We start from the raw sequence: 14,519 nt of genomic DNA on the forward strand, positions 1-14,519 counted from the left end.
CGTGTTGGCTAGGCTGGTCTTGAACTCCTGAACTCAAGTGATCCACCTGCCTCAGCCTCCCAAAGTGCTGGGATTACAGGAGTGAGCCATGGAAACTGGCTGTGGCTATTCCTTTAACCTGCTATATTTATGAGAATTATCTTTGCTTCTTACTAATCAATCCCTTTTACCCCAATTTTATTTAGTACCATTAAATAACATTTAATAGTAGTATTATTTTGGGACAGGGTCGGCTCTGTTGCTCATTTTATTTAATACTTCTTTATATTATATTTCCTCTTCAAATTACCATCGTGGTCTCTGACTCTTGATAGGACCTAGACTGATACATAGACTAAAATGTTCTAATTAAATACAGAATTTTTCAGAACCAATTAAAAAAAATACCCAAATGTATTTTGCATACAAGAGGCATAGCTGAAACATCATAATACAGAAGGATTGAAAGTAAAAATATGGAAAAATATATAGTACAAAATGGCTGACCGAAAGAAGCTGTTCTAGCTGTTAAGCAAAAGTAACTACCCTTATAAAGAGGAGCACTTTATAATGATAAAAAGGTTCAATTTACAGGAAGGTATAAAAAAATTCTGAATTTCTATGGTGACTAGTAACATGGCCTTAACAAAATATAAAGCAAATATGGACAGAACCATAAGAATAAATAGATACATCCTTAATCAGAATGGAAGATCTTAATACTCCTCTGTCAGTAATTGATAAACAGAAAAGAAAATCAGTTCCTAGATTCAAAAAATATAATTAACAAACTTGCTTTTATTACTTGCTTTAATTGCTTGCAGAATTCACATTTTTTTTTTTCTTTTTCTTTTTCTTGTTTTTGAGATGGAGTCTCACTCTGTTGCCCAGGCTGGAGTGCAGTGGCAGGATCTGGGCTCACTGCAGCCTCTGTCTCCCAGGTTCAAGTGATTCTCCTGCCTCAGCCTCCCGAGTAGCTGGGATTACAGGTGCCAGCCACCATGCCCGGCTAATTTTTGTATTTTTAGTAGAGATGGGGTTTCACCATATTGGCCAGGCTGGTCTTGAACTCCTGACCTCAAATGATCCACCTGCCTCCATCTCCCAAAGTTCTGGGATTACAGGCGTGAGCCACCACACCCTGCCCTCACATTTTTTTCAAAGATGAAAAGATCATTTATAAAAGTTGACTATTTGTTGTGCAGTAGAGCCTAAACACATTTCAAAGGACTGAAATGATATATAGTACATTTTCTGACCAAAATTAACCCAATCTAGCAATTTATTATACAAGATAATAGAAAATACTCATATGTTTGGAAATTTAGAAATACATTACCAAATAACTCATAGATCAAATAAGAAATCACAGTGGAAATTAGATAATATTTTGAACTGAATTATAATAAAAATACAGCTTATTAAAAGGTTGTGTGATGCAGCTAAAGAGTACTTAGAAGTTAATTTATAAGCTAAATGTGTATATTAGGAAACAGGAAACGAATCTACTCATTCATTTCAGGAAGTTAGGGAAAAGGACGACAAAATAAAGCCCAAAAGGTCAGAGTAGGAAAAAATGCAGATAAGAGTAGAAATTAGCAAAATAAAAAATCCCATAGAGTTGAAAAGATCGACACAGCTAAAATTAAATGGATAAACCTCTGGTGAAACTGATAAATAAAAATGAAGAGAAGACACAAATAACCTTTTGTTCTAAGCTTTTAAAAAAGTCACTAAGAGGAAATTATGAACAATTTTATACTAACAATTTTTGGAATGTTAGAAAAAATGATCAAATTCCTAGAAAAATACAACTTATCTAATATGATACAAGAAAACTAGATAATCAGGCCAGGTATGGTGGGTCACACCTGTAATCCCAACACTTTGGGAGGCTGAGGCAGGCTGATTACTTAAGCCCAGGAATTCAAGACCAGCTTGGGCAACATGGTGAAATCCCATCTCTACAAAAAAGACAAATATTAGCTGGGTGTTGTGGCACGTGCCTATAGTCCCAGCTACTAGGGTGGCTGTGGTGGGGGAGGATCACTTGAATTCGGGAGGTCAAATCTGCCGTGAGCCATGTTCGTGCCACTGCACTGTAGCAAGACTCTGTCAAAAAAAAAAAAAAAAAAAAAAGAAAAAGAAGGAAGGAAGGAAGAAAGGAAGAAAGGAAGGAAGGAAAGAAAGACAGACAGACTAGATAATCAAAATAATCTTATAGCTGTTAAACAAATTGAGCCCATAATTAATTGCCACACAAAAAAAGCTTCAAGTCAAGATGGCTTTCCTATATACTTTCAAGCAACATTTAAGAAAGAAATAATGCCTATTAAAAAAAATCTGTATTAGAGGATGTAAGACCAATATAATGACCTTGACACCAAAACTCAACAAGAACATAATGAGAAATGAAAATGAGAAGACTATTATGAGAAACTAGAAACCTTTCAGAAAGTAGGTGAATAAATTTTTTTTTTTTGAGACCGAGTTTCATTTTGGTGCCCAGGCTGTAGTCTAAGATCGCGCCACTGCACAAAGAAAAACAAAACAAAACCATAGACTGGGTGGCTTAAACAACAAACATTTATTTCTTACAGTTTTGGTGGCTGGAAGTCTGAGATGAGGGTGCCAACATGGTCAGGGCCCTCCCACTTGTTCACAGACAGCTGCCTTCTTGCTATATCCGCACATGGTGGAGAGAGAGAGAGCAAGCGCAGGTTCCTTCATCTTCCAAGGGTACAAACCTTATCATGGGTGCTTTATCCTCATAACCTCGTCTGACCCTAATCACCTCCCTAAGGCCCCACCTCCAAATACCATCACATTGGGTGGGGGCTTCAACACATGAATTTTGGGGCGGGGGACACACACATTCAGTGCACAGCAAAAAGTATAGGGATTAAAGTATGCTGGTTATTAAGGTATTGTCTTTCACCTTGAGACCTGTTTTGTGATGTTGGTTCTGGGATTTTGCAAACCACATTTCTTTGCCAGTTGCTTTTCTGCTGGGGTCTGTCTGCAAGAGTCCCTGAGTCATATGGAAATTCTGTGTATATGTCTCTCTCTCTCTCTGTGCTGTCTGTGTGTGTGTGTGCATGTGTGTGTGTATTTCTGAGTCATCTTGTACTCGTCTGGTAAGTAGTTTTCACACATAGAAAGCCCTAATTTAGAAGAAACCTCTGAATTCTTATTTTCAGTATTATTAGAGATAAAGAGAATAAGAGATAAAACATTTTTAAAGGATCCTCATTACTTCTTTTTAAAATATATAGCTGGGCATAGTGGCTCATGCCTGTAATCCCAGCACTTTGGGAGGCCAAGGCGGGCGGATCACCTGAGGTCAGGAGTTCAAGACCAGCCTGGCCAACATGGTGAAACTAAAAATACAAAAAATTAGCCAGGAGTGGTGGCAGGTGCCTATAATCCCAGCTCCTCTCTGAAGGCTGAGGCATGAGAATCACTTGAATCCAGGAGGCAGAGGTTGCAGTGAGCCGAGATCGCACCATTGCCCTCCAGTCTGGGCAATAAGAGTGAAATGCTGTCTAAAAAAATAAATAAATAGGCTGGGTGTGGTGGCTCAAGCTTGTAATCCCAGCACTTTGGGAGGCCGAGGTGGGCGAATCACCTGAGGTCAGGAGTTCAAGACCAACCTGGCCAACATGGCAAGACCCTATCTCTACTAAAAATACAAAAATTAGCCCAGCATGGTGGCTCATGCCTGTAATCCTAGCCACTCGGGAGGCTGGGGCACGAGAATCGCTTGAACCCTGGAGGTGGAGGCTGCAGTGAGCAGAGATCATGCCACTGCACTCCAGCCTGGGTGACAGAGAGAGACTCCATCTCGAAAATAAGTAATAAATACATAAATAAATACAAATAAAATAAAATACACATATAAGGCTGGGTGCAGTGGCTCATGCCTGTAAACCCAACATTTTGGGAAACCAAGGCGGGAGTATTGCTTGAGGCCAGGAGTTTGAGACCAGCCTGGGCAATGAAGCGAGACCCTGTCTTTATAAAATTTTTTTAAAAAGCTGGACACAGCAGCATGCATCTGTAATCTCAGCTACTCAGGAGGATGAGGTTAGAAGATCACCTGAGTCCAGGTGTTCAAGGCTGCAGTAAGCCGTGATCATGCCACTGCACTCCAGCCAGGGTGACAGAGACAGACCCTGTCTCAAACAAACAAATACATCAGATGACATCTCCTGAAACATGTTCTGTTCTAAGGAGTAATTTACACTCACTAGGATTAATCTGTTCAACCTGTTAAACTACTAAGAGAGCAGTAGACAGGTGTGTTAGTCCAGGTTTATATTACTGTGTGACCTCATCCCTCTATTTTGGATCCAGAGATGTTTCCCCTCTGGATATGATCAGTTTCTTTGCAGTTGGCTTGAATTTCAAACCCCAGATTCTGCCTGTAAAGTTAATAATACTCTGCTTCTAATTGTATAAGTTTTCTCCATGTGGGAACTTAGTATACAGACTTTTCCCCATAACTACAACTGAATACAGAACAGTGATCATGCGACTTCTATATATCCTGACCACACTTCTGCCTTTGTAATTTGAATTATTTGGCACTATGAACAGCATTTAGCATAGTATTTTTCCATTTTTTTCCTTGGGGAATGAGACAAAGATGAGGTTGTGAACCAAGCTGACAAGGCTACTCTAGCTTACTTAATTAAGTACAGATGGTCCCCAATTTCCAATGGTTCAACTTAACAATTTTTTGATTTTATGATGGTGCAAAAGTGATACTTATTCAGTAGAAACTATACCTCAAGTAACCATACAACCATTCTATGGTCTTTCCTAATAGTCTAATATTAATTGAGAACTTTTTTGAGTTTCTAGAAATCAAGGCGGTATTAATAGGAAACAGCTATGCTTCCGACAACTTCTTGAAAATACTGTCAGGGTCGAGGTGGCTTCCTCATGCTGCCTGGGCAATTCTTCTTGAAATGCCATGGCTTGCCACACTTGTAGCAGTTAACAGGTGTACCCTGGGAATTCTGGACTTAGTGGGCTTGTCTGGTGGCCATTAAAGCCTCTGTCTCTTTCCTGTATTTCCTGTCTCTCTCCTGGGCCTTCCTATCTCTATCATAAAAAACCGAGGTGGCTACTTTCAGGAGGTTCTCCAAAGTACTATCTGGTCCCAGGGCCTGTTTCTGCAACTTCCTCCTGATATCAGGGGCTGCCTGAGTAATAAATTTACCCTTTAGGATAAGTTATCCCTCGACAGAGTCAGGAGATAGAGAGGTGTGCTTTACAAAGGCCTCTCCTAGCCTTTCCAAGAAGGCAGTGGGATTTTCATCAAATCCTTGGTCTATCATGGATAACTTGGTATACTTAAGAGGCTGGCCGGGCACAGTGGCAGGGTCTTGGGAAAGAGGCAGATCTGACAGTTTAACTTTTGTTTGTTTGTTTGAGACAGAGTCTCGCTCTGTCGCCCAGGCTGGAGTGCAGTGGCGCGATCTCGGCTCACTGCAAGCTCCGCCTCCTGGGTTCACGCCATTCTTCTGCCTCAGCCTCCCAAGTAGCTAGGACTACTGGTGCCTGTCACCTCGCCCGGCTAATTTTTTTTGTATTTTTAGTAGAGATGAGATTTCACCATGTTAGCCAGGATGATCTCGATCTCCTGACCTCATGATCCCCTCACCTTGGCCTCCCAAAGTGCTGGGATTACAGGCATGAGCCACTACTCCCAGCCTAGTGTCACATTTTAACTCACCGTTCTTCAACTGTATCCTGGACAAGCCCCCAGATGAAACTGGAGAATTCCTTGACCCCCCTCACAGGACATGCGACAGGGTATGGCTCATCTGTTCAGTCACTGCCATGGCTAAACCCCTTATAGGAAGGGGAGCACACAGACAGACAGGTGCAGGAGCCCAAGTGGGTGTGTGTTACAGTGTGCCCTTTTGGCCTTGCCGTCCGTGGACAACTTCAGTGTTAACCAGCTCAGTGGACCCTCTGCCTTTCTGCAAGGGCACAGGGCCAGTGTGACAGCTCTCTATATGCCAGGCTCTTGTCCAGCGTCCCAGAAGAATCAGGTCACACACGAACTTGAGCGATGAATGCAAGGGTTTTATTGAGCAGTGGAGGTGGCTCTCAGTGGGATGGATGGGGAGCCGGAAGTGGGGATGGAGTGGGAAGATGATCTTCCCCTGGAGTTTGGCCATCCAGCTGCTGAACTCCTGTCTGACCACCCCAGCAGAACTCCTCTTGGCATTCAGAGATTCCTCTTCTCTTTCTCTGCCATGTCGTTCTGCTGTTCATCTGGTTGTCTTGTCGTCTCCTCATGTAATTCTGGGGTTTGGGGTTTATATGGGTAGAGGATGGGGGGCATGGTGGGGAAGGGAGGAAGGAAGGAGGAAGGAAGGAGGAAAGAAGGAGGGAATGAAGGAGGGAGGGAGGGAGGAAAACAAACCAGGAGGAAGAATGCTTAAACTGACTGTGCAGCTATTGCAAAAGTTCTCAGGTGGGTGCCTGCCTGTCTGGTGAATGTGAGAGACAGTAAGGAGGCCACAGTGGCTATAGTAGACAAACCTAGGAGGTGAATTGTAGGTGATGAGATGAGAGAGACAGAGCCCTTCTTTTGGAACTTTATATATCTAAGTCATTGTTAAAACTTCAGCTTTAACTCTGGGGAAGATGAAAAGCCAGGGGAGACTTTTGAGTGGAGGGTTATATCTGTCTTACTTTTTTTGAGATGGTGTTTCGCTCTTGTCTTCCAGGCAAGAGTGAAATGGTGTGATCTCGGCTCACTGTAACCTCCGCCTCCCAGGTTCAAGTGATTCTTCTGCCTCAGCCTCCCCAGTAGCTGGGATTACAGGCACCTGCCACCATGCCTGGTTCATTTTTGTATTTTTTTAGTAGAGATGGGGTTTCACCACATTGGCCAGGCTGGTCTTGAACTCCTGACCTTAGGTAATCCACCCACCTCGGCCTCCCAAAGTGCTGGGATTACAGGCATGAGCCACCGCACCCGGCCTGTGTTACTTTTAAAAGGATCACTCTGGCAGCTCTATGCAGAGTACTTAGGAGGCAACTGCAGGTGGGGTACAGTGGCTCATGCCTATAATCCCAGGAGTTTGGGAGGTTGAGGCAGGCAGATTACGAGGTCAGGAGATTGAGACCATCCTGGCCAATGTGGTGAAACCCCATCTCTATAAAAATACAAAAATTAGCTGGGCATGGTGGCGCGTGCCTATAATCCCAGCTACTTGGGAGGCTGAGGGAGGAGAATCCCTTGAACCAGGGAATTGGAGGTTGCAGTGAGCTGTGATCACACCACTGCACTCCAGCCTGGCGATAGAGTGAGACTCTGTCTAAAAAAAAAAAAAAAAAAAAAAAAAAAAGCAATTGCAGTAATTCTAGTGAGATGGTGTCATGGGCCAAGGTGATTGCAGTAGATTAACTCCATATAGCTGAACATATTTTAAAGACAGAGCCAACAGCTTGTGACTTAGTTGTGGGGGTATAAGAAAAAGAAAGGAGATGGCCTGGCATGGTGGCTCATGCCTGTAATCCCAGCACTTTGGGAGCCCAAGGCAGGCGGATCACAAGGTCAGGAGTTCAAGATCAGCGTGGCCAACATAGTGAAACCCCATCTCTACCTAAAAGAAATACAAAAAAAATTAGTTGGGCATGGTGGCGGGCATCTGTAATCCCAGCTACTTGGGAGGCTGAGGCAGGAGAATCTCTTGAACCTGGGAGGTGGAGGTTTCAGTGAGCCGAGATCATGCTACTGCACTCCAGCTTGAACAACACAGCGAGACTCTGTCTCAAAAAAAAAAGAGGAAACGAGGATAACTCCAAATTCTTTGGCCTCGGCTAATGGAGTTAACATTAACAGAAATGGAAGCCAGGCATGGTGGTTCAAAATTGTAATCTCAGCACTTTGGGAGGCTGAGGTGGGAGGATTGCTTGAGCCCAGGAGTTCAAGACCAGTCTAGGCAACGTAGGGAGACCCCAACTCTACAAAAAAAAAAAAAAAAATAGGTGGGAGTGGTGGCACGCAGGTGTAGTCCCAGCTTCCTGGGAGGTTGAGGTGGGAGGATCACTTGAACCTGGGAGGTCAAGACTGCAGTGAGCTATGATGGTGCCACTGCATTCCAGCCTGAGCAACAGAGTGAGACTCTGTCTCAAGACGAAACCAAACAGAAATGGGAAAAGTTGGGAGTATAGCTGGTTTGGGAGACCAGGGATTCAGTAGTGGACAGATAAGTCTGAGACCTCATTAAACTTCTAAGTGGAAATTATTTTTAATTTTTTTAAAGAAAGCACTAGGGCATGATAGATTTAGTCTTTTAACTTTAAAATTTGTTGGTTATTCCAAAAATGTTTCCACCTACAGAAAAATCATTAAGATATAATAAAACAAATTGTTATTCTTATGCACGTAAAATGAAATTTAAAACCACCATCTCCTAGTTGATAAGGCAGTACTATATATATATATATATATATATATATATATTTTTTTTTTTTTTTTTTTGAGATGGAGTCTCGCTCTGTCACCCAGGTTGGAGTGCAGTGGCACGATCTCTGCTCACTGCAACCTCCACCTCCTGGATTCAAGGGATTTTCCTGCCTCAGCCTCCTGAGTGCTGGGACTACAGGCGCGTGCCACCATGCCTGGCTAATTTTTGTATTTTTAGTAGAGACAGGGTTTCGCCATGTTGGGCAGGCTGATCTCAAACTCCTGACCTGAGGTGATCCATCCCCATTGGCCTCTCAGAGTGCTGGGATTACAGGCGTGAGCCACTGCGCCTGGCCAGTCATATAATTTGAGTACTTTTTTAGAGAAGCATCATAGCATAGAGATAGTATATCGACTCTAGAGCAAGTTTGCTTGGCTTTATTTCTTTTATTTTTAAAAATTTTCTTTGTATAAATTTATGGGGTACAAGTGTTACATGTATATATTGAGTAGTGGTGAAGTCAGGGCTTTTCTTCTTCTTTTCTTTTTTTGAGACGGAGTTTCACTCTTTTTGCCCAGGCTGGAGTGCAATGGCCCGATCTCGGCTCCGCAACCTCCGCCTCCTGGGTTCAAGTGATTCTCCTGCCTCAGCCTCCCGAGTAGCTGGGATTACAGGCATGCGCCACCACACCCAGTGAGTTTCTACTTTTAATAGAGACGGGGTTTCTCCACGTTGGTCAGGCTAGTCACGAACTCCCGACCTCAGGTGATCCGCCCGCCTCGGCCTCCCAAAGTGCTGGGATTGCAGGCATGAGCCTCCGCACCTGGCCTTTTTCTTTTATTTTTAAATTTTATTTATTTATTTATTTTTGGTAAGTCATGCATAGGGCTTTTTTGTGTATCCATCTCCAAAATAACATACATTGTACCCTGCATTTAAAACGTTATCGTGCTACTTACTGGCTGTGTGACTTTGGGTGAATTACTTTGCCTCTCTGTGCCTTAGTTCTGTCATCTGTATAATGATGAAAACAATACCTAAAAGGGATTCAATTATTTCATATTTATAATGTGTTTAGAACAGTGCCTGAAACATAGTGCTAAATATGTGATATAATTTGTCTTTCAGATAATTTGTTAAAAGCCATTTTTAGTATTTAACTTATCTTAAATATACTTATGAGGCTCTAACCAAACTATACCATCTCTATGAAAAAACAAGATTATGTGTTTCACATGAAGCCATGCATCTTGCAAAGATGTGCTGATGAAAAGTGCAACATGCACTTCAGGAATCTGCTTTCTATAAAAGCTTTTATGTTTCTGGTCTGCTTATTTCTAGGTGCCATATCTTAACTAAAAATGTTAACTGGTTGTCTTTATCTATAGCAGTATATAAGGATTCTTAAAATTTGGATCTTATAGATGGAGTGTTTTAAAACAATTGATAGTGGCTTACTCCCATTCTCTGGACTGAGGGCTCAGTCTGACTGCCACTGTTCGCATTGTTAGTTTAAGTAATAGTGCTGATCACACTGCTTTCCAAGGAGGTTTTCACTTTCTTCCATATATATTTCTTTTCTTTCTTTTCCTTTTTTTCTTTTTCTTTTCTTTTCTTTCTTTCTTTTTTTTTTTTTTTTTTTTTTGAGACAGAGTCTCTGTTGCCCAGGCTGGAGTGCAGTGGCATGATCTCAGCTCACTGCAGCCTCCGCCTCCTGGGTTCAAACAATTCTCCTGCCTCAGCCTTCCAAGTAGCTGGGATTACAGGCATGGGCCACCACACCCGGCTAATTTTGTATTTTTAGTAGAGACAGGGTTTCACTATGTTGGTCAGGCTGGTCTTGAACTCCTGACCTCTGGTGATCCACCTGCCTCAGTCTCCCAAAGTGTTGAGATTACAGGCGTGAGCCACTGCGCCCAGGCTGAATCTTTATTTTCTTTGTGTGCTCTGCTCAGCCGTCTCAGTATTCTGCCCTGGGAAATGTTGAAAGGAGGGTTTTAAGCTTAAGATTCTTTTTACAGGATAATTTCCACATTGATTCCAAACTGAAAATAGATCCCGCGTTGCATAGGAACACTTTCACTCTATGTAGTCGGGGTGGGACTGACTCTCTTCCTTATTTCCAGGAATGGGGACTGTGACAGAGACCTAGCCAATCAGGGCTTTCTTGGAACTTTTGCTGGGACCACTGGGAAAGGGGTTTTCTTTGTTGGGATTCCTACCTTTAGAGATACTGGTGGTCATCTCTACCACCATATGAAGAAAGCTTGTTGAGAAATAAAGGAAGTACAGAGGAAAGCGGTGGTAAGACAAAGAAAAATAGATTTCTAATTATATTTTTATCTCTTTTATCCATTTCTGAAGCTGAATGACTTAGTTATATGATCCAATAGTTTTCTCCCCACTTTAAAAATTACATTTCCAGCCCTCCATCAATGATTGAACCTAAGTTACTGATCTATGGCATATTCTATGTAAAGCTTTCAAGTACTTTTCTAGGTATGGTAATCAAGGTTTTAATATTTAAGCATTTAAAACATAGTTTTTAATTTTTTAAATTAAAAACAGTTATTTTTTATTTTTATAAAGTCAGGGTCTCACTTTGCTGCCTAGGCTGGTCTTGAACTCCTGGCTTCAAGAGATCCTCTTGCCTTGGCCTCCCAAAGTGCTGGGATTATAGGCATGAGCCACTACACCTGGCCAAAAATATTATTTAAATTCACTTTTATTTGTTTTTTAGAGACAGGGTTTTACTCTGTTGCCCAGCTGGACTTAAATTCCTGGTCTCAAGGGAACCTCCCACCTTAGCCTCTCCAGGAGCTGGGACTACAGGTGCATGCCACCACACCTGGCATATATAAACACACATCTTTAGCATATAAAACAAAGGAATAAATTAACATGCAAAATTTATAAATGTCATATGTGGGCATAATTGAATTTCATGATAATCTGAAAACTGTAATTGACAATTTCAGAATAAGGCATCTAGTCAAAAAAGCAATGAGTAAATAAATGACTGCAGAAGGAAAAAAAAAAAACCCAAAAAACCATTAGTCATATCCAGCAAGAAGGGCATTCTCTGCTAGACAAGTACTTATTAGAAACTACCAAGTTGGCCTGGCACAGTGGCTCAGGCCTGTAATCCCAGCACTTTGGGAGGCCGAGTCAGGTGGATCAGTTGAGGTCAGGAGTTCGAAACCAGCCTGACCAACATGGTGAAACCCCATCTCTACTAAAAAAATAGAAAATTAGCCAGGCATGATGGCACACACCTGTAATCCCAGCTACGTGGGAGGCTGAGGCAGGAGAATCGCTTGAACCCAGGAGGTGGAGGTTGCAGTGAGCTGAGATCATGCCATTGCACTGCAGCCTGAGCAACAAGAGTGAAACTCTGTCAAAAAAAAAAAAAAAAAAAAAAAAAAAAAAACAAAAAAACGGCCTGGCGCTGTGGCTCACGCCTGTAATCCCAGCACTTTGGGAGGCCAAGGCGGGCAGATCATGAGGTAAGCAGATCGAGACCATCCTGGCCAACGTGGTGAAACGCCGTCTCTACTAAAAATACAAATATTAGCCGGGTGTGGTGGTGCGTGCCTGTAGTCACAGCTACTTAGGAGGCTGAGGCAGGAGAATCGCTTGAACCTGGGAGGCAGAGGTTGCAGTGAGCCAAGACTGTGCGACTGCACTCCAGCCTGGTGACAGAGTGAGACTCCATCTCAAAAAAAAAAGAAACTACCAAATTTACAGGTTCGGTCTCTTTTTCTGAAACCGTAGGGGATAGATAGATTTTCAAAGCCAGAATTGTTCTTAAAGCTCTCTTTTGTGGTATGCTTGTTTGGGTTTCCGTTGTATTAGAGGCTTTCCTCAAATGTTTGTTGATGCTTATGTGTCTGTTCATATTTGAATGTGAAGCACTGAAAAGCTGAGCAGAGCATATTTCACTAGCACTGCCTTGGGCATATCAACTTGGAGGTCTTTATTACTGAACATTTTCTTTAGGGCTAATATCTCAAGCTGTATGTATTTTCTCCTGGGGAAGGACCCCTCCAATCCCTTGCCTGAGGTGGGAAAGCTATCTTAATCTTATCCTGGACATAGATCGCAGGGAAGGGGCTTGCAGGTGTGATGGTTCAGCATGACTTGGTGGGCTGTGGGGAGGGCTTGTTGGCCTAATTATACTTCACAAAAAATTTTTAGTTATGTTTGCACATTTTTTTCTATGCAGTCCTGTCACTTGAGGCATATTTTTTTTTGTGTGTGATAAAATATACATCACATAAAATTTACCTTTTTTTTTTGAGACAGAGTCTCGCTTTGTCGCCCAGGCTGGAGTGTGGTGGCATGATCTTGGCTCACTGCAACCTCCATCTCCCGGGTTCAAGCAATTCTTCTGCCTCAGCCTCCCAAGTATTTGGGACTACAGGTGCACACTGCCACACTCGGCTATTTTTTTCTATTTTAGTAGAGATGGGGTTTTACCTTGTTGGCCAGGCTGGTCTCGAACTCCTGAGCTCAGGCTGTCTGCCTGCCTCAGGCTCCCAAACTGCTAGGATTACAGGCATAAGCCACTGTGCCCGGCCCATTTTACCCATTTTTATGTGTACAACTTAGTGCCATTAGGTACATTCACAGTATTGAGCAACCGTCACCACTAGCCATTTCCAGAACTTCTCATCAACTGAAACAGAAACTATGCATTAAATAAATAGCCCCCCTTTCTACCTCCCTTCAGACCCTGGTAACCTCTATTTTCTGTCTCTATGAATTTCACGTTGCCTATTCCAGGTGCCTCATGTAAGTGGTATCATACAATATTTGTCCTTCTGTGTTGCTTTAACCTTCTTAGTTTTCATATAACTCAGGTTAAGTAAATCGTCTACGATCAGCAGCTTTAAGTGGCAATATGGCCATAGAAACCTAAGTGTATCTGTCAAAAAAAAGAGCATACTCTTAACCATTCTGCACTGCTACTTTAGCAGTGAGCATTTCCCCCTTCCATATGCAGATATGTATCCATATATAGCAAGTGTTTTACACTTGACATTGTATCTGGAATGTTTTCTCATACAATTAAAAATTCTTTGAAACATTTTAATGCTTCCTAATAATCTATTATTGTGAATGCATCATGCTTTAATTTGCTGTTGACAATTCTTTTTCTTTTTTTCTTTTTTTGAGACAGAGTCTCACTCTGTCACCCAGGGCTGGAGTGCAGTGGTGCGATCTGGGCTCACTGCAGCCTCTGCCTCCCTGGTTCCAGCGATTCTTGTGCCTCAGTCTCCTGAGTAGCTGGAATTACAGGCATGTGTCACCATGGCTTGCTAATTTTTGCATTTTTAGTACAGATGGGGTTTCACCATGTTGGCCAGGCTGGTCTCGAACTCCTGGCCTCAAGTGATTCACCTGCCCTGGCCTCCCAAAATGCTGGGATTACAGGTGTGAGCCACCGTGCCCGGCTGACAATTGTTTTGAATTTTAAATAATATGTTTGTACATAAATAAATACCTGCATTTCTGATTAGAACCCTAGGATAAAATAGAATGTAATTTCTAGTTAAAAAAATAGAACATACTTAACATTTGATATTTATTGTTAAATTACCCTTCAGAATTGATCCAGGGCATGTATGCGATACCACAAGTGCTTTTAATGCCATCCTCACCAACACTGAAGTGTTTTTTTCCTAATTAGGTTAAAATTGATGTATCACTGGTTGTAATAGATTTCCTTAATAAGTAATGATAAACTTTTTTACTTTTTTTTTTTAAAGACAGGATCATGCTGTTTCCCAGGCTGTCCCGCCTCAGCCTCCCAAGTAGCTAGGACAACAGGTGTGAGTGGCTAATGTTATTTTTTGTAAAGACAGTCTCCTTATGTTCCCCAGGCTGGGCTCAAACTCCTGGCCTCGAACACTCCTCCTGTCTTGACCTCCCAACGTGTTGGGATTACAGGTATGAGCCACTACACCTGGCCTATTTTATCTTCTAACTATTCTATTTGTCACTAATTTATTTCCTATTAGAGTCTGTTTTCAGGTATTCATAGAAACTTTTATATATTTGTGGCAAATCTTTTCCCAATTATTTGCTTTAAAATGGTAG

The 14,519-nt window shown here is 42.1% G+C and overlaps 1 long non-coding RNA gene across 1 annotated transcript, besides 1 other annotated feature; it reads right to left on the bottom strand.

The window, feature by feature from the left end:
* Positions 2,361 to 2,450: an enhancer, noted in NCBI's record as "active region_6210". NCBI's record gives its function as "activates an Ori minimal core promoter by ATAC-STARR-seq in GM12878 lymphoblastoid cells {active_cell/tissue: GM12878}" and the evidence as "EXISTENCE:reporter gene assay evidence [ECO:0000049][PMID:35858748]".
* Positions 6,058 to 9,455, bottom strand: LOC124902921 (uncharacterized). Its single transcript, XR_007063280.1, has 2 exons — positions 9,377 to 9,455; positions 6,058 to 6,300 (listed from the first exon to the last, which is right to left on the bottom strand). It is a non-coding gene; the product is annotated as an uncharacterized LOC124902921 (long non-coding RNA).
* Positions 9,456 to 14,519: the final 5,064 nt, after the last annotated feature.

This window comes from Homo sapiens, chromosome 12 (assembly GCF_000001405.40).
Source record: "Homo sapiens chromosome 12, GRCh38.p14 Primary Assembly".
Classification (NCBI taxonomy): Eukaryota; Metazoa; Chordata; class Mammalia; order Primates; family Hominidae; genus Homo; species Homo sapiens.